Raw genomic sequence first — 23,342 nt, 5'->3', positions numbered from 1 at the left:
CACGACATATAGTATTATTCTATTTTTATATAAGTCAAAAGTGAGCAAAATGTAAACCATATTGTTATACACATAACTGGTAAAATAATTCTTAAAAGGACAGAGGGAGAATTACCATACGTCAGGATAGTTAGCTCTGGGGGAAACAGTGAGTGTCAAGAGGGGACACACAGAGATTTTGGAGTGCTGGCAAGACCTCCTCTGCATCTAGTTTGTGATTACACAGCTGTTGCTTTACCCATTAAGCTCTGTTTTAAGTACTTATTTGTAAGTTATATTTCACAAAATTTAAAAGAACAAGGGAGAACCTGTGTACTACCAAATATTAACACCAATTAAAGCGATAATTATTGACAGTGTAGAAAAAACCCAGAAGGCCCAGAAATTGGCCTAAGACACAAAAGACACATAAGAATTTAATATTCTATAAAAATAGCATTACTAATCAGAGGGGAAATGGTGGTTTCACATACTGAACCAATTGGTAAATTCTTCGAAATAAAATCAAATCCCTACCTTATATAATATAACCAAATACATTTGAGATGGATTAAAAATTTCCTTTTCACCCCAAACTTGTACTGATTTAGTTAATGTATATAAACAAAATTTAAATTCCTTTTAAAGATAGGTGTAAAAGTGAAATAAGAAAATACTAGAAGAAAATAAGGACATTTATCCATTCTTGGATTACAAAAATACTTTCAAGCACATACACAAAGGTAGACTCCTAAAGAAAACAACTTCTATACTGAAATACCACAAACTATGTTAAATGACAAATAAGGCTAAAAAAAGTTACAATATATGACAAAGGACGGACATTCTTAAGAACTTATATGCCAAAAAAAGAGCAAATTCTCCAAGCAAGCAACAGAAAAAATATGAATGAGCAATTCTCAAAAGAATGAATATAGCATGGCCAATGAATATGAAAAAAAACACAACCTTCACTAAGTAAGAAAAACAAATACAAATTTTAAATGTAGCCCTTTTCTGTAATTATTCAATTTGCAAAGATTTTAAGTAGTAATTTTCAATTCTGAGCATTGGATATATTGCTAATGGGAATGTAAATGAACATGATCTCTGCAGTGAGTAATATATATAAAAATTCTCAAAAACACTTTCACCTAACAATTTCATTTTTAGAGCGGTATCTTCTGGAAATAAGTCATTTTCTATGGATGTGATTAAGATGTTAATCATATCACTATTTACAGATTACATTATAATACATAATCAAATTGCTGAATAGGAAATAAATCTTAAAGTTATGGTATACCCATGAAATAAAATATCCTACAGCTGTCTAAAAAGCAAAATATTTAATATGGGAACATATTGACAATATATAGAGCAGACTACAAAGCAATGTACATTATGATTTCATTTTTGAGAATATAAATGCATAACTATGCATAGAAAAATAAGCAAAAACACAACATCAAAATGTTAACAGAGTTTATCTCCCTAGATGGCAGGATTACAGGGAACTGTGTGTCCAGGCACATGAACTCTTCCATATCATCCAGCTTCCAGAAATAACATCAAATTTTACGCTGTGAAATCATTTACTATTCGTTTTAAGAACTAAAACTAATGAGAATCTTAGGTCAGTATACTTTTCACATTTGCTTGAGGGGGGTAAGGAATGAAAGCAATAATTACACCTGGAAGCAAATGTGAACAGTCTTTTTCGAAAGGAAAAAGTTGTATTTAATTAAGTCCCGGTAAAACATCACCTTAGCATTTGAAGTTGTTCTAATTAATATTTTATTCTTCAACACTTTTAAAGACTCCAATATATTAGACAAAGAATTTTTTGATAATGTAAGTTAATTTCTCTGGAGACAACCATATAATCCTCTAAAATGACATGAACGTTTATATATGGGACTGAAGCTTCTGCAGTCTATATATACCTATTTGGGGGGAAAAAAGTAAAGTACTGACAATTCAATTTTAACAAAAAAAAAATGCTTTCCTTATCAAACATTAATGTTGTGTACATGAACCTATCATCTGTGACAGCAAGGAACTCAAGCCAGGTGATGCACAAGCCTTCACCCAGCTCAGTTAGCTTGGGCTTCTCCTGTACCAGATTTGCCTGAAGTAACATGAGGTTATTTAAAAAGACCTCCACCTAGATTGCAGTGAGCCGAGATCCTGCCACTGCACTCCAGCCTGGGCGACAGAGCAAGACCCCATCTCAAAAAAAAACACAAAACCAAACAAACAAACCAACAAAAAAAACCTCCACTTTCCAGCATCTACTCAAAAGGGAAGTCCTTCCTAATCAGAAGAGAGATAACGTTCTTCCTAAGGGAAGACAGAAAAAGGAGAAGAGCATTTGTTAAGCATTCTCCATACATGTCTTCCTAGGTATTTCACATCCAATGTCTCAATAACCCCATGCAAACATGCATACAATTCTTTAGACTGCTCCCTTCATTACCCAAAAAAGAAGGGAACTATGTCTTCCTAATTGATTTTAGGTGCCTGGAACAACTAAGTATTTCACTGAAAGACATGTAATAAATGCTATTTGATAGGTAAGAAAAAGGAAAAAAGCAAAGTTACCTCTTTTCATTTGGCTTAAAGAAAAAAAAAGTATGTTCTACTATATACTAAAATATCAGACCAATACACAATATATTGCAAAATTTTAATACCATGTGGTTAAACACAATATTCAAATATTAAACTTTTCAAGCACATGAAAGTCACCTTCTGAAAGACAAACTGGGCTTTTTTTATAACTACCTTTGTGTAACTTTATAAAATTACTTCCCTCAACAATATCTGACACTGATCTTGATACTAGTTAGAAAGTCTGATGTAAGATGATGACATCTCAACGTCAGTGATTTAGGAGATTATCTTCAGAATTCATCAGAGGACCAATCGTCATCTTCATCCCTTACTTCTCGGTATCTCCCTGAAGACTCCCCTTCTGGATTATAACTCCGCATTTTAATATTCAGTCTTTCAGCTAATTTTTGCGCTGCGAGCTTTGCTTGCATCTCCTTTAAAACAAAGAGCAAAGCACAAAGTTACACGTTCACATCTCTTCCTTACAATTTTTCAATGGGAAGTTACCTAGAATCAGCAATAAGAGGGACACTGACACCTCACTGAGTGCTCCCTTGGGCAATACAAGCCTGATGGCTGTGCCCTATCAGACACAACTGGGTAATGCTTCTGACAGCCACCAGCCTGCTACAGTTGAAGTTACTGACCTCCATTAATATACAACATTGCACTGAAATACACTCCTCTATATAAGAAACTGAGTAATGAGCTTAGCACTACAATACTTATAAATACAGATGCGTTAAATATGGGGGCACATGCACATGTATACACACTCACATAACAATTTGACCTATCAAATGTCAAAAATGACTAATGCTGGGGCCCGGTGCAGTGGCTCACGCCTGTAATCCCAGCACTTTGGGAAGCTGAGGCAGGCGGATCACGAGGTCAGGAGATCGAGACCATCCTGGCTAACACGATGAATCCCCGTCTCTACTAAATATACAAAAAATTAGCCGGGCGTGGTGGCGGGTGCCTGTGAACCCGGCGTGTTCCCGGGTTCACAAGAATGAACAAGAATGGCGTGAACCCGGGAGGCGGAGCTTGCAGTGAGCTGAGACTGCGCCACTGAACTCCAGCCTGGGTGACAGAACAAGACTCCGTCTCAAAAAAAAAAAAAAAAAAAAAAAAAAAAAAAAAAAAAAAGAAGGACTAATGCTGTCTAGATTTCTACAACTGACAGGACCTTCTTCCCTAATTACAATCATGACTTCCAGACTTGGGAATTACATTTCAATGGCAAAATGAAAATCAAGAAATTAATACTAAAAAGCTGACTATTCCTCTCCAAATAAAGTCCTACAGCAACTAGTATCCAATAAAAAGTCCAAGTAAATTTCAGACACTGGCAATGTACTTAAAAACTCCCAAGGACTTTACCACCAACTGATGGTAGGTGGCAATGTCATTCCTAATTCAGTTCTTCCCTTTTCTCATGCTTTCTTGAACTTCTTGATGTCCTCCTCTTCAAGCCATGAATATGGGTCAGTAAAAGTGGGAGCTATTACCACTACAACTTCTCTGCTAAAAAAAAACAATTTAAAGATGAAGGGTTTAATTCAACCTAAAAATATCTTAGGACAGGCATTTAAGAGCTCAGAGACAGTAAACACTTCCTCAATGCTACAGCCATAACTAGACAGTCATTTTAATGCACTGAAAGAAAAATGGTTTTTTTCAAAAAGAGCACCTTGATAATGCCAATCCATGCCAAGGCTTTTATGAAAAGCCAAAGCAGATTAACAGCCTGTTTTGTTGTTTTTTTTTTTGAGACAGGGTCTCACTCTGTCACCCAGGCTATACAGAGTGCAGTGGTGTGACTGCGGCTCACTGCAGCCTCGACCTCCTGAGCTCAAGCAATCCTCCTACCTCAGCCCCACAGGTAGCTGGAACCACAGTTGCATGCCCCAATGCCCGGCTAATTTTTTGGTAAAGATGGAGTCTAGCTATGTTGCCCACGCTGGTCTCGAACTCCTGAACAGTCTGGTGTTATACTAGTTGGTGCACTAGTACCTGACTAAAATCTAGCTAATCAATACCTAGGAAGTGAGACAGGATACTGTTCTCCTGGAGGCTAAAATTATTACTAAATACTTCTAAACTTTTCTGTTCCCCTATGGTCCTTCACACTTATTTTCTCCCATCCCATTATTCTGTATACAAACTCTCAACATACATGTTTGAAGTTCAATGCAAAACACATGGAAACAAAGTGCTATGCAAAATTGATTAAGCTGCCAAAAGCAGGAGATATTTCTCTCTTCACATGGGCCTGCAGATTATGCTCTAAAGCAGTGTCTCACTGTCTGCTGGCTACACAACATTATCCTCCCACTCCTTCTATGCCCTCCCCTGTACTGCAGAAGATGGAAGCCTGGGAACTACATTCTCCTCATTCTCTAACAAGGGGTCTGGGTTTGAGTCCGCCACTGAGAAGCTGTCACATGAGTTTTACAAGGTGAAAGGGAGAGATGCGATGCTACTACTATCCTAACAGGAACAGGCAGGTAAATGAGCTTTAAGACATGAAATTCTACAAGTCTCCCCACATCTCCAGGCAAATCACCACTTTAATGTTGAAGGTAGCTGTGATCATCTCTAGCTACTTCCTGCAGTTCTAGCAACTTTGTGACTCTCTGAAAACTAGTGGCATAGATCTGAGCTCATGGAAGCACCTAATCCCCTCTATTCCATTCCTTCCTCCTTGAACCTGGAGTAAATTCTAGCTTATGTAAGCAGCACCCAACAAACAGACAAGAAAAAAAATACTCTAAATACCTCATAATTCTGTTTCTGCTGTTTCTGAAGTGCCAAGGATTCTTCTATGGAGAGCAGCTGCGTGGGCATATGGTGAAGTGGTAGAAGCCGAGCTGCTGTGATGTCATCAAGATGCTGCTTATCCCTGCGCCGCCGCTCTTCTGAGGAAATAGGAGACCCACTCTTCTGGCAATGACTAGATGAATCATTTTGTCGAAAAGGTAACCTGATGAAAGGAAAACTTGTGTTATACAATCAGATTATTTTATTTGTAGACACATTTAAAACATTCACACAAATGGCCTTTACCTTAGCAATTAATTCTCCTCCAAAGGTAACAGTAAGTAATTTACCAGTATTCATTGCTCTAACAAATAGGGGTGTGTTTGTGTGCATACAGGCTCTTTGCCTTTTCCTTCCTTATTCAAACCTTGTATTTCATCTGGAGTTTTTTTTTTTTTTTTCATTTATTCAAAGAACATTTGCAAAAGGGCTTATTGCCCAGTAGAAAGAAATACACATGTAAAGTTTCAGTGCAATACAATACCAGAGATACTGTGATAGATATCTCAACAAGATACATTGGAACATAAGGAAATGGCCAGTTCTAGTGGGAGACAGGGAGGCTAAGAAAAGTTTCAAAAAAGCTTTGAACAGTCTTGGAATAATAACTGCTTACCCATGTAAATAAGGAGAGAAGTGCATCCCAGCAAGGGGAGTGAGAGAAAGTACAGAAGGTAGACAGACTCAGCTTTTCTGGCTACACAGAAAAGACAGCGAGAAAGAGGGCTGGGAAGTAGCCTAGGCCCAGACTGCAATGAAGAGTTCTCCGTAACAAGTTCGGATTTCCATCTTACAAATTTCACTCTGGCAGCAGTGGAGATAGACTGGTAGTTAAGACTAGAGGTAGAAGGGGCCACAATTACAGCCCGAGAGAGATGAGAGTCTTCACTTCGACAGAAGATGAAGAACAATTATAGAGATGAAGATCAAAGAAATAAGTAGGTCTTCATGGCTAGCAGATATGGAGATGAGAAAAATCGAAGATACCTTAGGGGAAGAAAACCGAGAAGGTGGTGGCACTATTAGGGAATATGGAAATCACCTTGGAAAGAAACTGCAGTTCCACTTTGTACATCATTAAGCTGAGGTACCTGGGAACACCCAAGTGATCAAGTTTCATGGTTAATTGGCTATGCAAACCTAAAGTTCTGGGAAGATCTGGGATAGAGGTGCACAGGGGTCAGCCTCCAGCATCCAGGTGATACATGAAGCCAGAAGAGTATGCAGAAGGAAGAGCAGAAAGGACCCAAAGGACACTACCTGACCCCACCTTCCAACCTCCAAGCCACCTCTCACACGGAACCCTCTCAATCCCTACCTGTCTATGGCCTAAGGACTCCTCAAAGCCCTGCCTTTCCTGTTCTCCTCTAACTTATACAGGAGGCTCCCTGTCTCTTAAACTTCCTGAATTCTTGGTAGCCCTCTTCACTATTCCCTTACCTCTCTCCCACTCCCAGCTAAATGACCATAATACAGAACTGGGATTAATGTATTCTTTGTTTTATTTATTGACTAGATGATGGTTCTAGTTTTCTAAAATGTCATCCTGGAAGTGAAGAAAGATACCCCACTGTACACAAGAGAGTACTTGATCACGTTAATGTAGTATAATCCTGATTTTCTATACAGCAGAAATAAAATGTTTTGAGGTTAAAATGAATGCTGGGGTAGAATTAAAGTCTAACAAAAAAGAAGCATGTTTTAGATACTTTTCACTAGAGGTTTTCTGTTTTTCAAAGAAAGGTAGTAGTGATTTAACTTTGATGTTACATACTTGTAAATACAATATAGGAAGAAGGTACCAGTTACCTGAGTTGAATGTTACATTTGCTGCAAGTAAATAGCAATTATTTTCAAAAAGATTTTACTTTTCCTGAAATTTCAGAAACAAATTTATGGCAAGGAACTGATAAGCAGAGTTTTTGCCTATCCTGCCTGAATCTATTTTCACAGTTTTTCAAACCTCTTCTCAGCTTCCTTCCCCCTGAAACTGTTATTATTATGTAGCTTAACTCTTTTCCAAGTGTGTAAACCTTGGGTCCTCATGTAGCTCTTAAACTCCTTGAAGAACATGGTATTGTATTACATTACACATGTATACATTACAGCCATGTTTTTAAACTTGAGATTTAACATCAAAAAAGGCAAAGGAGTTTTAAGAATCTTGACTTAATTGTGTCCCCACAACACCTGCTGCTTGCTTACATACAGTGAGCATGCAAATAATTTCTGCTGGAAAGCCCATCAGCTCCTGCAATTGCTTTACCCTTAGTTCACAGACTAATCAAAGAGAGTACACTTTGATAGTACACTAATCAAAGCTGTACACTAAAAAATGGTTCTGAAAAAAAGAAGTCATAATAAATTCTCTCCAACTCTGTGTTTATTATGAAATACTGGCTAAGCATCCTAAAATTTAACACTCCCCCATGTGCTTTAAAAGACCTTGTCGATTATTTGGTTTCAAAACTAAATATTTTTCAACATGAATCTTCTACTCCGGCCAGGCTGGTCTCAGTGTTGCCACAACATGTTATTTCCTAACTACAAGTAGTTCTCATACAAAGCCCACGGAACTTAGAGCATTCTCCTGACTTATTTAAGAGAAAAGGTCTTATTATATTGCCCAAGCTGGTCTACAACTCCTGGACTCAAAGCTGTCTTCCCACCTCAGCCTCCTGAGTAGCCTGGGACTACAGGCAAGCACCACCACACCCAGTTTCTCGTAAATTTTTGAGTTTAACAAATATCACGTTCCTGTTACAGGCCTGTTTCCGAGGGTACTTACACATTGGTTTTAAATTTACGCAGCTGGGGCACTGGGTTTTTGGCTCGCATTTCTAGCACTTCCATGTAATGAGGTTTCTTCTCAGTCCCACTGGAAAGGCCTGTCAAGTTCTTAGTACTTGCGTTTTCTTCTGACTGTTGTTCACCTTGGTCCGCAATGGTGATCCTCTGTAACCTGTCAATAAACAGGTTGTCAAAGCTGCTGGAAGTATCTTCCGCTTGACTTGAAACACGATGCCGCGGGTGATGCTCACTAGCTTCAGATGAAGGTGGTACCCTGTCTCTATTGCTGGAAGCTGGGCCCTTATTCACTGTGTACTCAACCTCTGAAGTCTCTTCATCACCTTCAAGAGTAGGACGTCCAAGTCCCTGGTTTTGTGAGGTTTGAGATGACTTGATGTTATCTACAGAGGAACATCCAGGAACTAGTGATGAAGTATCAAGTATCGGGTCAGAATTCTGGGCCTTATCTGTACCCACATCAACTTCTGCAATTGCTTTTTGCCTTAGCTTACAGTCTAAACTAACAGGGTTAAACAGTTCACTTTTTCTTCTAACTTCTTCACATTCTGCAATGGCAGCTTTCAGTTTGGCAAAAGAGTCAAAGATCTTTTTACCTTTGTCGGGCAATTTGCAAATGAATTTTCTGTCAAATGGAAAAGAATACTATTACATTACAGCCATTTTTTTAACTTGAGATATAACATTAAAAAGGCAAGGCATTATCTTCAAAGAAAGAAAAGCTGATTTTTAAGTCAAATATCTGATTTCTAACTGCCCCAAAACAAGAATAAAACAATTAAAATGGTCATTATCCAAATAGCCCAAAAAACAAGGGAATGCAGGAAGAATAGGGAATATATGCCTCATTTGTCTCAGCAAATTAGAATTTCAGCAAAAGTATTTTAAGCATATAATAATCACATAAGACATTCCAAGAACCAGCAGTCATTAAAGTGCAATCTCCAAAATTTGGGGATGGGGTGGAGTGTGGGGATGGGCCTATTAGGTCAAAACTACTTTCATAATAATACTAAGATATTATTTCCCTCTCATTTTCTCGCATGGGTACAGTGGAGTTTTCCAGAGGCTACATGGCATGTGATGACATCATTGTTCTAGAATAGAATGTGTGCTTGTGTATGCTTATGTTTTAAAGACTTCAGACGTATTTCTGATAAGTAAATACATTTCGCTAGATACAACACATAAAATAGCTCTTTGGGATGTCAATAATTCTTAAAGTATAACGGAGTCCTGAGACCAAAAAGTTAATTCACTGCTATACATTCAAAACCTATTCTCACAAGGTCAAAACACATGTCTTGATCCCAACCAATTATTTATTTGTCCCTTTTGCTGGATGACAGAGTTCCTTTTCTGATTCCCTTTTCTTTAACTATACAATAAATGGAAAGAAAAAATTACACCTTAAGTCCTCTGTTCTTTTTGACACTACATTCATCCCCACAATTTCAACTATTAACAACACTCTACAGCTGAAATTCCTGTTTTCTGTATTTTTCCAGGGTTCTCTCTTTCTTGAGCCTCATGACTACTTCTCCAGCTTTTAAGTGTTTGGTTTTCGATTAACCAAATGTCTGTCCTGCTCTCCTCTCAACTCTGCACACCCTAAGTAAAATCAACCTTGGATCTATTCCTCTCCCTGAATTTTCCTATTTTTGCTAGTGGTCTTCCATATAGATTGGAAACTTCAGCCATCTCTGTCAACTGCATTTAAATTAGTCCATGCTTAAAAGTTCTCCCAATCCCTTCCTAGCTCACTTTCTTACAAGTGTCTCGTGGGAAGTCTCTCTGAAAATATCCTTCTACTGTCTTCTGCTTTTTATTCCTTCAAACCATCTTTTGCAACAAGCTGCTGAACAAAGCTGCCTAAAAAACAAAATCACTTTTATTACGTGGCTCCCTTGCTAAAATCCGTTCAACCAGCCAGCTGAATGAGGGTCGAACTTTCCCGGCCTAATAAACCCCTCTTCATATCCCACTCTTCCCATTTCCTACGGTTCCTGTAAGCTTAGAATCCAGAGATGAAGCTGACAATCTGTTATGGGTTAGGGGTGCGGGCGACAAAAGGGTTTAGAAAGCAGACTCATGGAACCACCACAGTCCCCGGGTAAATAAAACCGACCAGGGGCTACTAACTCCCTGCAACGCCAGGTAGCCGTTCAATCCGAGCTATCCTCGCAGGCATACGTGCCTGGCCAGGAAGAGGCACGGCTCTGCCGCAGCAAGCCCTCCGTCCACTCGCCCGTAGGACTGAAGCGAATGTGACTGAGTCAAAGTCACCTTCCAGGGAAGGGAACAGAGTGCGGGAGGGGAGGGGAGCGCCCAGGGAGCTCGAGCTGAAGGAGCCTGGCGGAGACTCCGCGGGACCCCAGCTTACTCGTTGCGCAAAAGTCTCTCCTGGCGCTTCAACATTTCCCGCAGCTCCACCAAACTCCGCTGCGCCAAGTCCTCGGGAGCTTGGGGCTCGAAGCCGCGGGGCAGCGAGCACATTCTGCGCGGGCTGAGGCTGGCGCGGCGGCGGGCACTCGGCTTCCTCGGCAGGCCCCGCTACTAGCGCCGGATCCGCGGACGGCGGTGACTCCGGGGCACGAGCGGGAGTCGCCATTTTCCCGGAAGAACGGGGTCTTCTTCGAGCCGAATCGAGCTTTATTGAAATTCCGGAAACAAACACGGACTGGGAGAAGGGGGCGTCCGCAGGAGCGTTAAAGGGCGGAAGTTACGTCGGATGACGCCGGCTCCTTGGCTTGGCGCCCTTTCCCCTTGTGTGAGCATTCATGCGGTCATCAGCTGTTCGTCGGTTTATACAAAAAGTATTCAGCGCCAGCGTGACCTCACCAAGCACTATGTGTCAGTCAACAAATAGCAACGTCCTGTGTTATACTTGGGGTTTACAGAGTTGGCGGGGGGATGGGGGGAGGGAGAATCAAATTATGATATAATAGTAACGTTGGGATGGGCACCTGGGAAGATATCTCTGAGAAGTGGTTCAAGTCGAAACTTGAAAGATGAGCTGGCCATTAATAAGGTGGGAGAGAGTGCGGGACAGGATTTGGGAGACTCTGGCCTGTGCGTGGTGCCTCCGGCCTGTGCGTGGTGCCTCCTAGCTCAGCTTAGGGACGTCCTGAAATTGTTAAAGTTGGAAGGTTCCTCAGAATCAGCGATTTTTCTTGGGGCTCAATGCATTTGGAGAAGGACTTCATTTGTAGCACCGCCTCAAGCATTGTTAAGACATTTGGTGTTTCTGGCTTCTGCCTGCTAGGTGCTATGGCACTCCCAAGTCATTGCAACAATCCAAAATGTCTCCTCCAACATACATTTCCAAAGGCCCACAAGAGGTGATGAGGGAGTGGGAGCAGCTGTACAAACTCGTTGAGGACCTTTTCGAATTTTCTACTTTGCCTATAGAAAAACAGAGGCATGAAAACTGAAATAAATATTCCCAGGGCACAAAACCAGTAAGTGACAGCACCAGATTTCAAACTCAAAAGCCCAGCCCCTTTTCCAACACACCAATTTGAAAATCCCCTTCTTCACTTTAGGCCTATTTCCAAATGTGTAAAACTGTTGAAAAGACTTCCCTCCGCCCCCCCCCACCCCCGCCACCTCCCCAGCTGTTGAGAAGAAGGCAGCTTAATAGGTATTGGACACAGCTTTTACCTTCTCGTTATAGTTCAGCTACCAGAGGTGCATCCCAGTGGAAAGAGTAGGAAGACATGCAGTCACAGCAGATGTCACTTGGGAGGTTTGAACACCCCCATAACCCACCGCCCTCCCCCGATTTTTTGATATAGGAAATTGAAGTTGTCTCAATCCTGTGTAAGATGCTATATAAACACAAGCAGCTCTGTCCTAAAGAGACAGAAGATCTAGGTAAACTCCAAAGCTATTCCAGGGAGCACAATTGCAACCATTTATCTATCCCCCCAATCTGGTCCATTCTGATCAGATTCATTAATATATCAAAATAAGTTTTCTCTGTATAAGACTTGCTTTCAAGGACGTTAATAACGTGCTGCAGCATTGGCTGAATGAGAAATAGGTAAGGTCCTCGAGTCAGGTGGTTGTCTGTGGTACTGACAAAAAAAAAAAAAAAAGACTCCGTAAAATGTTGAAGAGATGTATTCTGTGCCAAATATGAGTGACCATGGCCCGTGACACAGCCCTCAGGAGATCCTGAGAACACGTGCCTAAGGTGGTTGGTGCACAGCTTGGTTTTATACATTTTAGGGAGACATGAGACATCAATCAAATACATTTAAGATAAACATTGGCTTAATCCACAAAGGTGGGACAACTCAAAGCAGAGCGGGTGTGGGGCAAGATGGGCTCCCAAGTTATAGGTAAATTTAAGTTTTTTTCTGATTGGTAATTGATTTAAAGGAATGTCTAGGTTAGCATAAGAACTTGTGGAGACCGAAATTTTATCATGCAGATGAAGCCTCCAGTTAGCAGGCTTCAGAGAAAGTAAGTTGTGTTTCTTATCAGACTCAAGGTATATGTGTTGATATTAAATGCTGTGTAGCTTTTCCTGGATTCTAAAAGAAAGAAGGGCATAATGAGGCATGTCTGACCTCAGCTTCCCATCATGGCCTAAGCCAGTCTTTTAGGTTAAATTTGGAGGACCCTGGACTACAGGAGGAAGTCCATTCAGACGGTTGAGGGCGGACCTTCAAATTTTATTTTTGGTTTACAGTGATAAGCACCCCGCAAGCCTCCCTCACCCCACCCCTGGACCCCAGCTGGAGGCCTTTATTTCTCCCACAGTAGTGAACTCCCCATGTGCTGATTGTAGGCCACAGGTGTCCCCAAGGCAAGGATGCCTTTCTTTTAGGCCTCAGAATTTTGCCCCCTTCTGTTACCCTTTTGTGGAAGGCTATCTCTTCTCCCCTTGCCAATTGTAAGTCTTGGCTGAAGTCTCACCTCCTCCCTGAACCTTCCCATGTTATTCCAAACCAAACTTCTCTTTCTTTTCAGCACAATTATAGGGCTTAGTTAAAGTTGGAACCTCACTGCATGAAGCATATTATACTTCTCTAATTGTGTTATGCATCGAGATTTCTTTTTCCTTTCCTAACAAAATTGTAAAGTCCTTTCTGTGAGGGAGCTATAATTGTACTTTTTCTGTCTCCTCTCAGGAACATAGCATGTAGTAATTGACACAATCTCCTTCTCTCATATTTTTTTCTCTACCTTTCCCCCATATTCCTCTTTCTCTTAATGAAATGTTTCTTATATGCAAATCTTAAGCTTTTTATATAATTAATCATCATTACTGTGTAGATTTTTCAGTGGTTTGGGATAGAATCTTTTATACAGTATGGCTTAGGGCTTCAAGATATCATAATACAGATCTAAATTCCCACCAGCATCCAAGCACAAACTGTCTAATTTTGTCAGTAACCAGGAAGCATGGCAAGTGGAAAACATCACTCTACAACAGAAGCAGACTACTTGCAGCCTATTTACACTTCAAAAGGAAAATAGGCAAAGTATTCTTTTATAATTTATGAAACAAAAAATAAATATCTAGGACACAAATTTTCACAGCAGTGTCTAGAGAAGAAGATATAAAATGGAGAAATTTAACAATGGAGAAATGAAGACTAAAGAGAGAAACAATGAGTGCTACAGGTTATACCTGTTTGCAGCTGAACCAAACACTTGAAAGGAAATGGAGCCCACAAACCACAGACAGCTAATCTCTGCTAAAGAATTCCAGTTGCCTGTCAAAGAGCCCATCCGTTATAAAAATGAATCTGGGCAAGTGTTTTGGGGTTTTTTTGTTTGTGTTTTTCAGTGCTCATTAAAAAGATGAATCACTTTTCCAGTGGTACTTGGATTAATCTCCTGAATGTTGCTCTCAGAGTAAACTAATAAATTTGGCTGCGTTTGAAAGGAAGGAAAATTCAAAACAGAATTAAGGGAAAGGAAAATTTCATTAGTCACGTGAGGTGCTGCCAAGATGACCTATAGACATCCCACTGCCACGAAGCTACACAAGGACACTGAACAAAAACAAGACCTGGGAATGATTTCCACTTGTCCTTACCTAGTTGAAGATAAAAACTGACAATCAATTGTAAAACTGATAAACATAAATGTTTAGAATTTCCAGGCTGTTCTCCTCTGTTTTCTTGCTTTGATTGTCATTGTTGGGGCATGAATGGCCACAAAACTGGCCATGATATAGTTGGAGTTGACCAGAATGGCAGCAACAATATTTCCCATCCTAAATGTGTTCTTCTTGCTATGTGAGTTTAACACTCCTCCTGTCAAGAAATGGGGTTATTCTTCTCTATCCTTGAATCTGGGCGTGCTTATAACTAGAGCAAAAGTGATTTTTCTAGTCTAGATGACAAAAGGTGATGCAACTTCTACCTAGCTTTCTTGAAGTGCTTACTCTTGGAACTCAGCAAGCAAGCCATGAAGAAGTCTGCATTTGCGTAGATGTTTTGGCTATCATCCCAAGCTGAAGTTTCAGCCAACAGGTAGCATCAACCACCAGACATGTGAGTGAGCAAAACTTTGGATAATTTCAGCCCCAACTGTCCAGTCACTTCCAGCCTTCACGACATCCAAATTGAAGCCTCAGACATTGTGGAGCAGAGACATCTTCACTATGCCTTTTCTAAATTTGGGGTCGTTTATTAAACAGCAGTAGTCACAGGAACTTTATCCAAGGTTAATCCCTTCAGCTATACTATGGATCCCATCTGTTCTTGCTTCTTTGGAGATCTCATTCATTTGTTCAGTAAGTAAATATTTATTGAGCGTCTATCACAAGTGAAACGCTATTCTAGGATTTGGTGATATAACGATGAATGAGGTAAAGAAATTTCCTGTTACATTGAAACTTTTATTCTATCAGTACTAAGAGTCACATAGAGAATTAGTACAGAGTGATTTGATAAGGAGTGACTGGTAGACTACTTTGATTGGGTGACTGAGGTTGGGTTTTCTGAGGAGGTAACTTTTAAGCTGGGACTTCAAATGACAAATGATCAACTGTGGGAAAATCTGATGGAAAAACATCCCAAGTAGAGGCAAGAGAAGATACTAAGGCCGTAAAAGGAGAAGGAGCTTAGCATGTTCAAATAACAAAAAAAAGCAATGTGGAAGGCTGGGGCTAGATCTAGCAGGGCTTTGTAGACCAGGATATGGAGTTTGGATTTTACCCTAAAAGAAATGGGAAGCCACACGTGGTAGACAGCCTCTAGGATGGCCCCCAGTGTCCCACTCCAATGTAATCCTCTCCCATGGAATGTTGACTGGACTTAACTGACTCACTTCTAATAAATATGGTAGAAGTGATGGGCACCACTTTCCAGATTAGGGAATAAAAGATTTGAAAAGACAGTTTACCAAAGAAGATATATAAGTGAAAAATAAGCACATGAAAGAAGACCAGTGTTATTAGCCATTAGGAAAATGCAAATTAAAAATACATGGAGAAGCTGGGCATGGTGGCTCATGCCTGTAATCTCATCTACTCAGGAGGCTGAGGTGGAAGGATTGCTTCAGCCCAGAAGTTCAAGACCAGCCTGGGCACCATAGCAAGACTCTATATCCAAGAAAAAATAAATAATAAAATCACAATGAGATATTAGTACATGCCTACCAGAAAGACTGACCATTCCAAGTGTTGTAAAGGATGTAGAGCAACTGGAACTTTGATACACTGCTAATGGGAATGCAAAATAGTACAACCTCTTTGGAAACCAGTTTGGCAGTTTCTTAAAATATACCGTTTGACCCAGCCATTCTTCTGCTAGGTATTTACCTAAGAGAAACAGGTAAATGAAAGCATATATTAATAGAAAGGCTTGCACATAAGTGTCATTGCAGCTTTATTTGTAATAGCCCAAAACTTGACACAATCCATTAGTAGGTAAGTGGATAAACACGTTGTAGTCTGTGCATATGATCGAATACTCTGGTACATGCAACAACTCTGATGAATCTCGAGTATACTGAGAAAGAGGCCAGGAAAAAATTACACACCGTATGACTCCATTTATATAAAATTGTAAAAAATACGAACGCATCTATAGTGATAGAAAGCAGATCAGTGATTATCGGATGTTGTGGGGTGTCAGGGAGAGGCTGGGAGGAAGGATGACAAAGGGGCAGGAGGAAACATTTGGGAGTGACGGGGATGCTCAATACCTTAATTGCGGTGATGGTTATATGGGTGTAATCATTTGATAAGTCAAAACTTACTTCTAGAGATAAAAAGAGAAAATTAAAAAAAACTTATTGCGCTGTATACTTTAAATATGTCCAGTGTATAGCACGTCAGTTATACCCCAATAAAGCAGTTAAAAGCTGCCCCCAGCTTCCACCTGCCTTCTTTTTTCAGAGATACGCGTCCTAAAAGAATTGTCCACATTCTCTGACTCCATTTCTTCACCATCTTGCAAGCACCATGGATCCCTTCATGGCTGTCAGATTCAAGGAATATGTCTTAGTCCTTCCCCTTCTCACAGCATCTGACCCTGTTGAGCAGTTTCTCCCTCTTAAAACTCTCTCTTACCATAAATTCCAAGGTACCAATCTCTCCAGGCTTTTAAGCACAGGAGTCTTTTGGGGTTTTGCTCTGGGACTAGAATTAGAGTCAGGGTAAAGGCCTTACCACCTGAATGTCTCAAAGGTTTCTCAGTCTCAACCTGTCCAAAACTGAATTTGTATTTCCCTCCTTCGACCCTCTCTTCCTCTCTTAAATTCTGACCTTTTTTTTCTTTTTTGAGACGGGTCTTGCTCTGTTGCACAGGCTGGAGTGCAGTGGTATAATGTCGGCACACTGTAACCTCAGCCTTCTTGGCTCAAACAATCCTCCCACCTCAGCCTCCCTCCCACGTAGCTGGGACTACAGGTGTGTGTCCCACGCCCCGCTAAATTTTTTTTTAATTTTTTTGTAGGGACAGGGTTTTGCCATGTTGCCGATGCTAGACTTGAACTCCTAGGTTCAAGCGATCTGCCCGCCTCAGCCTCCCAAACTGCTGAGATTACAGGCATGAGCCACCACACCCAGCCTTTTTTTCTTTAAGAAATTTAATTTTGCTTCCTTCACTTGGATTACTAATGTGGGATACATTAGTGTCAATGTACAAAGACTGAAAGTGTTCAACTTCACACTTGTTGGGCCTCTCAGCATGAGAAATGGCCCGACCGCCACATGGGGATTGCTGGAGAATGAGGGGGTGGGGGTGTTATGGGGCAATGCAGAAGCATGTCCAGCCTCTATGCCTAGACTTGGCCATAGTGACACTGGGCCAAGTTGGGGGTATGCAGGCAGCAGATTGATGATTAGTGGGGAGCTAGTACCAAAAGGGAATTTAAAGGAGAGGCTGGCCAGAGATTTGGACCAGATGAAGTCAGTGGGAATAAAGATCACCAACAAGGGAGCCAAACAGCATCATTCTTTTAGAAAAACCAAGACTTCACTGATGACCAGACTTTAGGGTTAGAGAGCTGACTGAGGAGTGGGGGAAGCTAGCTTTTGCTTTGGCCCTACTGTGTGCCTGGCCTTTTAATTACATTTTATTAATTTTATATAATTGTTGCAGCAAATAGACCAATGGAACAAAATAGAGAACACCGAAATAGACCCATGCATATATGGGAACTTGATTTGAGATTTAAGATTAGTGAGGAAAGAGTGAATTTTCATAAATAGTGCTAGAGAGATTGGTTGTGTATATGGGAAAAAGTATTAATATAAATAGTTTCCTACTTCCAATAGACATGAGGATTAATTCCAGAGGAATTAACAAACTACTATTTAAAATTGAAAAATAATATTTACAGAAAAACATTTCAATGATCACAAGTTTAGGAAGGATTTCTTAAGACACATTTTACAAACTTTACAGGAAATAATTTGTAAATTAACTACATTAAGGCAAAAACTTCTGTAGTGTAGAAGGGTAAAGGCTATTATACATATAAACAGCAAGCTGGCATCCAGAATACAAAAACTCACACTTTACAAAAAGAATTCTTATACATCAATAAGCAAAACAAGTCAGAAAAAAAAAAAGGAAAAATACGAACAGTTCACAGAAGAGGAAACTGGAAAAACCAGAAAACATGCTTTAAAAAAGGATCCTCAACTTCAGGGAAATGCAAAGTAAAAAAATCTTAAAAATTCCAAACTCTTTCTGATTGGAGAAACAGGAGCTCATGTGTTACAGAGACTGAACTGGCAGAAACACTTAGGAAAGATATGCAGTCACATCTAGTAAACTGGAAGACGTGCCTACTCTGCAATCCAACACACAGCATTTATGTACTAGCCTTCCTAAGGAAACTCGGTGTATGTACTAAAGAAGACGTGTGTCAGAACATTCATTGCCACATTGTTTATAGTGGTAGCAAAAATTGAAAACTACGTCAATTAAAATGAAGGAACTAAATCTACAGATTTCAACAAGGTTTAATCTCCAAAACTTAAGGTTAAGTGAAAAAAGCAAGTTGCAGAACAATACCATTTATTTTAAAATGAATAACATGCAAATTAATACTGTATATTTCTTTTCTTTGTCAGATTTATTGATATAGTTTACATGTAGTAAAATTCCCCCTTTTTAGTGTACAGGTCTGAGTTTTGACAAATGCATACAGTTTTGTGATGACCACCATAATCATGATATAGAACAGTTCTATCATGCCCCCCAAAATGTAGTCAGCCTCTCCACTGAACCCCTATCCCTGGCAACTACTGGTTTGTCTTCTGTCCTAGAGTTTTGCCTTTTCCAGAATGTCATATAAGTAGAATCATACAGTAGCCTTTTGAATCTGCCTTCTTTCTCTTAGCATAATGGTTTTGAGATTCATTTATGCCACTGCAGGTATCAGTAACCTGATCCTTTTTATTGCTAAGTAGTGTTGTATTCTATGGGTATAGTAGTCCATTGTAGGAGTTTACTTATACATTAAACAGTTGAAAGGTATTTATTTGCTTTAAGTTATTGCTGATTATGAATCAAGTCACTATAAACCTTGTGTATAGGTTTTTGCATGAACATAAGCTTCCATTTCACTTGGGAGTGGGATAACTAGGTCATAGGGTAAATGAATGTTTCTAAGAATCTACCAAATTGTTTACAAAGTATCTATACCATTTTGCACTCTATCAGCAATGAAGTTGCTCAACATCTTCATTGACACTTGGGTTTTGTTTTTGTTCTTTGCATTTTTTTTTCTTTCGAGATGTAGTCTTGCTCTGTCACCCAGTCTGGAGTGCAGTGGCATGATCTTGGCTCACTGCAACCTCCACTTCCCGGGTTTAAGCGATTCTCCTGCCTCAGCCTCCCGAGTAGCTAGGACTATAGGCGCGCACCACCACCCCTGGCTAATCTTTTGTATTTTTAGTAGAGACAGGTTTTTGCCATGTTGGCCAGGCTGGTCTTAAACTCCTGGCCTCAAGGGATCTGCCCGCCTCATCCTCCCAGAGTGCTGGGATTACAGGCGTGAGCCATCGCGCCCAGCCTGTTTTTGGTTTTGTTATGTTTTGTTTAATTTTAGCCACCAGCCTTCTTGCTCAAGTGCCCAGGCTGGGCTATTTAAGAAAGATTACAGAACTTGCACCAAACATTTTTTATGGTATCAGTCATGTTTGTAAAGGAATGTGGAGAACATTTTCTCCATGAACAAGTGATATGATCTATGAGAGTTGAGGGGAGCTGGCTGGAAAGGAAGAGATGGGAACCAAGGGTCATAAAGAAGTATGAAGCAAATTCTATTTTCTTCCATGATTTTTCTTGGAAGCATCCATTTGAGTATGGAACACACTGATTTTTTTCTCTTTTTTGAGAAAGAGTCTCCCTCTGTCACCCAGGCTGAAGTGCAGTGGCACAATCATAGCTCACTGCAGTCTCAAACTCCTGGGCTCAAAGGTTACTCCTGCTTCAACCTCCCAAGTAGCTGGGACTACTGGTGTGCACCACCATGCCCAGCTGATTTGTGTGTGTGTGTGTGTGTGTGTGTGTGTGTGTGGAGAGATGGGGTCTGGCTATATTGCCCAGGGCTGGTCTGGAACTCCTGGGCTCATATGATCCTCCCATCTTGGCCTCCCAAAGTGCTGAGATGACAGATGTAAGCCTCCATGCCCAGCCACATTCTGAATTTTTAAACAAACCAAAACAATGGCCATAGCTAATAAAAAAATTACTTATGAATGGTACACAGAGGACTTTATTGAACAATAATGGCTGACATCAGTGTGTCATTTTACAAAACCATCCCTTCCAGTCAGTCCCCCAAACTGCCTTCTCACACTTTACAAGGGAAGAGACAAGAGCTAGGGCCTCCTGACTTGTTTGCCTAGGGGCTACATTCACCACGCTACCTCATGTGCCCCCCAGTGCAGAGCTTCACAGAGAAATGACAGGAGCCTGGCTGGTGAGGGATGAGGAACCAAGGGAAGGAACAAGGAACTGGAATTGGGTATGAGAAAAACAGTGAAAAAAAGGAAAGAGAAAGGAATTGGTAAAGAGGGAGACAAAAAAGTAGAAGGGGCAATAAGAGGAATCGCGTTTCTCTGCACAGAAATCAGAAATATAAAGCTCTAAACGTAAGTCCTTAGGAAGTCACAGATACATTTTTTATTTCCCTTCCAGCTCTAAAATTCTATACTTCTACAAACTGCCACATTTCCCCTCTTTATATTTCACTGTGATCCCATGGCAACAAAAGATTTTCCTCAGCTACCCAAGGGTTTAGGCTGTAAAGTACCTGCACTCCACACTAAAAGTAAATTCTTGCATTAGTTATCCAAGTTGTTTTAAATGAGGAACCAAATTTTCAGCTCATATCTCCCTTTTTATCAGCAAATAGTAATTTAAAGCCATTTGCCTGGGCTATGGTTCCCGGGTGACAGACTATGGCCTATTAAAATTAATCCTGACAGAAGATCCTTGCTGCTTTCTCCAAGCCCATTCAGGCCGTTGGTTTATGAACAGGATGAACAGACGGCCCATCCCAGAGGGCTTGAGGGAGGAAGCACGTTAAAATGGCTGCCTGCATCTTTGTTTGCTCAGCTGCCTGGAAAAACTAGGACTAAGGGAAATGGGATTAATCAAGGGGGCAGTTGCCCATGGGAAAAAAAAATACAAAGACTGTGGTGAGAAAATCTCAGCCAAGTGAGGTTCAAGTTGGTGGAAAAGAACCCTTTTCTGTTAATACCGTCACATGGCTGAAGTGTTTTTTAGTGACGAATGTCCCATTTCAGGCCACCACTGTGTTTTATGATCTTGATAGTGTGGGAAGACATAGTTTTTTAAATTATTAAATGTTTGGTACTCTGAAATTTCATGTAAGTTTACTTTTTAATAAATTTAATGAAGATTGCTGGTTAGATATGTGACCAACTGAATTGTGATTGAATAATAAAACTTTGTAAGATTTTTAAATATGAAAAAACTCACAAACTGGGAAAAAAATCCTTGAAAGAGCACACGGTCTTTGACACAGACTATATAGACATTGTAGCTAAGGCCCCTCCTCTCAGTTTAAGACATAAAATCTTAAACAAGATTAAAAATACCTTCCCCTCTCCTTGACTTATTTTCCTTCCCTTTGACACATTGAGTGAAATTCCACCAATAAGAAGATTATATGGTGAACAAAGATCTTCCTTTGAGAACATAAATGATCTATTAGTCATTTACACGTGAGTATTATTTAGTTCCAAAATGCTTCTTCATAACAGCCTAGCTGAGATGATGACCTAAACCCAAAGAGTGAAATTTGTTCAGGAGGGAAAGGGAGAAAATGGAGAGAATTTTGAGTAATCTGAGAAGAAGAACACACCAGACAGACTATTACATCAGTGAGTTTAGGATAATAGGAAGACCCCAGAGTACTCATCTCTAGGATTTGGAGAGTATGTAGGGCAGGAAAGTAGGAGGATATAACAGCCAAACTTTGCTTAGAATTGGTTCAAATTCTATGCTGGAGGGCAGACTGTCCTACACTTAAATGGGCCTCACTGAAGATTTTTCATAAAACATCAAGTACATCATATAAGTCTGGCTATAGAAATTATTTAATTCATAAAACATCAGATAAACTATGTTTACACTTCCTTTGTGGTTGAGGAAAGACAGTCTGCACATATATTTATGAGAAAACAGAAAAGGAGGAGTGAGGTAATTTGCAAAGTCACTACAGGATGAGATTTCATAAGATCATTTCAGGTTTCACCAAGGAGGTAGTTGTCTTTTTAGTGGATGGAAAGAACTGATTTCTGCTACAGTGTCAGCACACCATGGCTCTCACTATTTGGAGTCTGATGTCCATCAGAGGCCATGAAATAAATAAACTAGTGATCAGCAGCAGGCTAGAGTTAGAGAAAACAAACTAACCCCTCTCCTCTCACTAGACCTGGCCAAAATCAGTGTCTGGTCACCTTTAATTTCCATCTTACATGAGAAAGAACACAGCTCTGAAAATCATCAACAGTGGGGAGATGGAGAGAAGTAAGGGATGCCCACGAAATATAAAGAAGAATTATTCAGGAAAAAAAAATTCTCATTAATTTTCTTCTTGAAAATTGGGAGGAGATAATAGTCAAGCATAGTGTATAGGACAATTAAAGCAATCCAGATGAGAGAACGGAGGTGGTGGTAGTAAAATTTGTCAACCCTCAACAATGTTTTTATGGGGCAGGGTTTGTGGACCACTAACTTTGTGGCAAGTCAGTTAACTCTTCTGAACCTCAGCTTCCTCCTGCTTAAAATGAGAGTATTGAACCGAAGTCCAAGATGCCTCTCAACACTTAAATTATATGATTCTAGGATGATGAATGTTACAATACACTCTCTGGCAACATCTGCATCTATTTAAGCTCATAAATGTTGAGAAGATATATTTGGTATGCAGTCAAACCAGGAAGCAAGTAGCTCCCTTTAAATAAATGCTCACCCAACATTGCTGGAGCTCCAGGCTTATCAGCCTTTGCTGGACTCCCATAGTTGTGCATGTCTTACAGCCCTGGATAATGTTTCCCATCACCTAGAATTCCTGGGCTCCATTTAATTTTTATATCTAATGGATGACAGCTCCGAGTAATTTAAAATTGTTTATAAGGTTAAAAAAGTGAAGTTGTC

At 40.1% G+C, this 23,342-nt stretch overlaps 2 protein-coding genes across 10 annotated transcripts in view, besides 2 other annotated features; both read right to left on the bottom strand.

Annotated features, from left to right (window-relative positions):
* Window positions 8-10,851, bottom strand: POLR2M (RNA polymerase II subunit M). Of its 2 annotated transcripts, none has more exons than NM_015532.5 (4): window positions 10,610-10,851; window positions 8,207-8,851; window positions 5,377-5,581; window positions 8-3,029 (listed from the first exon to the last, which is right to left on the bottom strand). In NM_015532.5, exons 1-4 carry the CDS (start codon window positions 10,720-10,722, stop codon window positions 2,886-2,888), a joined length of 1,107 nt encoding a protein of 368 aa, NP_056347.1. In that variant the 5' UTR covers window positions 10,723-10,851; the 3' UTR covers window positions 8-2,885. The 2 variants fall into 2 exon arrangements, with proteins under 2 accessions (NP_056347.1, NP_001018112.1); NM_001018102.3 differs by having other exon boundaries at window positions 8,207-8,380.
* GCOM1 (GCOM1, MYZAP-POLR2M combined locus) overlaps window positions 8-23,342 on the bottom strand; it is a 125,654-nt gene continuing 102,319 nt past the window's right edge. For 5 of the 8 annotated variants that reach the window (NR_104367.2, NR_104368.2, NR_104369.2 and 2 more), the window contains 2 exons: window positions 5,377-5,581; window positions 8-3,029 (listed from right to left, as the gene is read on the bottom strand). Coding sequence is in view for 3 of the 8 variants with exons in the window: in NM_001018090.6 (NP_001018100.1) it covers window positions 2,886-3,029; window positions 5,377-5,581 (349 nt within the window). In the remaining 5 variants the exon portion in view is untranslated. Of the gene's footprint in view, window positions 3,030-5,376; window positions 5,582-8,206; window positions 8,852-11,192; window positions 11,632-15,850; window positions 16,013-23,342 lie in introns of all 8 variants that reach the window. The other 3 variants (NR_104371.3, NM_001285900.3, NM_001018091.6) reach the window with 3 other exon arrangements.
* Window positions 10,367-10,416: a silencer, noted in NCBI's record as "silent region_6475". NCBI's record gives its function as "represses an Ori minimal core promoter by ATAC-STARR-seq in GM12878 lymphoblastoid cells {active_cell/tissue: GM12878}" and the evidence as "EXISTENCE:reporter gene assay evidence [ECO:0000049][PMID:35858748]".
* Window positions 10,737-10,956: an enhancer, noted in NCBI's record as "active region_9464". NCBI's record gives its function as "activates an Ori minimal core promoter by ATAC-STARR-seq in GM12878 lymphoblastoid cells {active_cell/tissue: GM12878}" and the evidence as "EXISTENCE:reporter gene assay evidence [ECO:0000049][PMID:35858748]".

The sequence above is a fragment of the Homo sapiens genome, chromosome 15 (genome assembly GCF_000001405.40).
Source record: "Homo sapiens chromosome 15, GRCh38.p14 Primary Assembly".
Lineage (NCBI taxonomy): Eukaryota > Metazoa > Chordata > Mammalia > Primates > Hominidae > Homo > Homo sapiens.
Note: the sequence above shows the minus strand (reverse complement) of the source record. Positions and strands in the feature narration are given on the sequence as shown.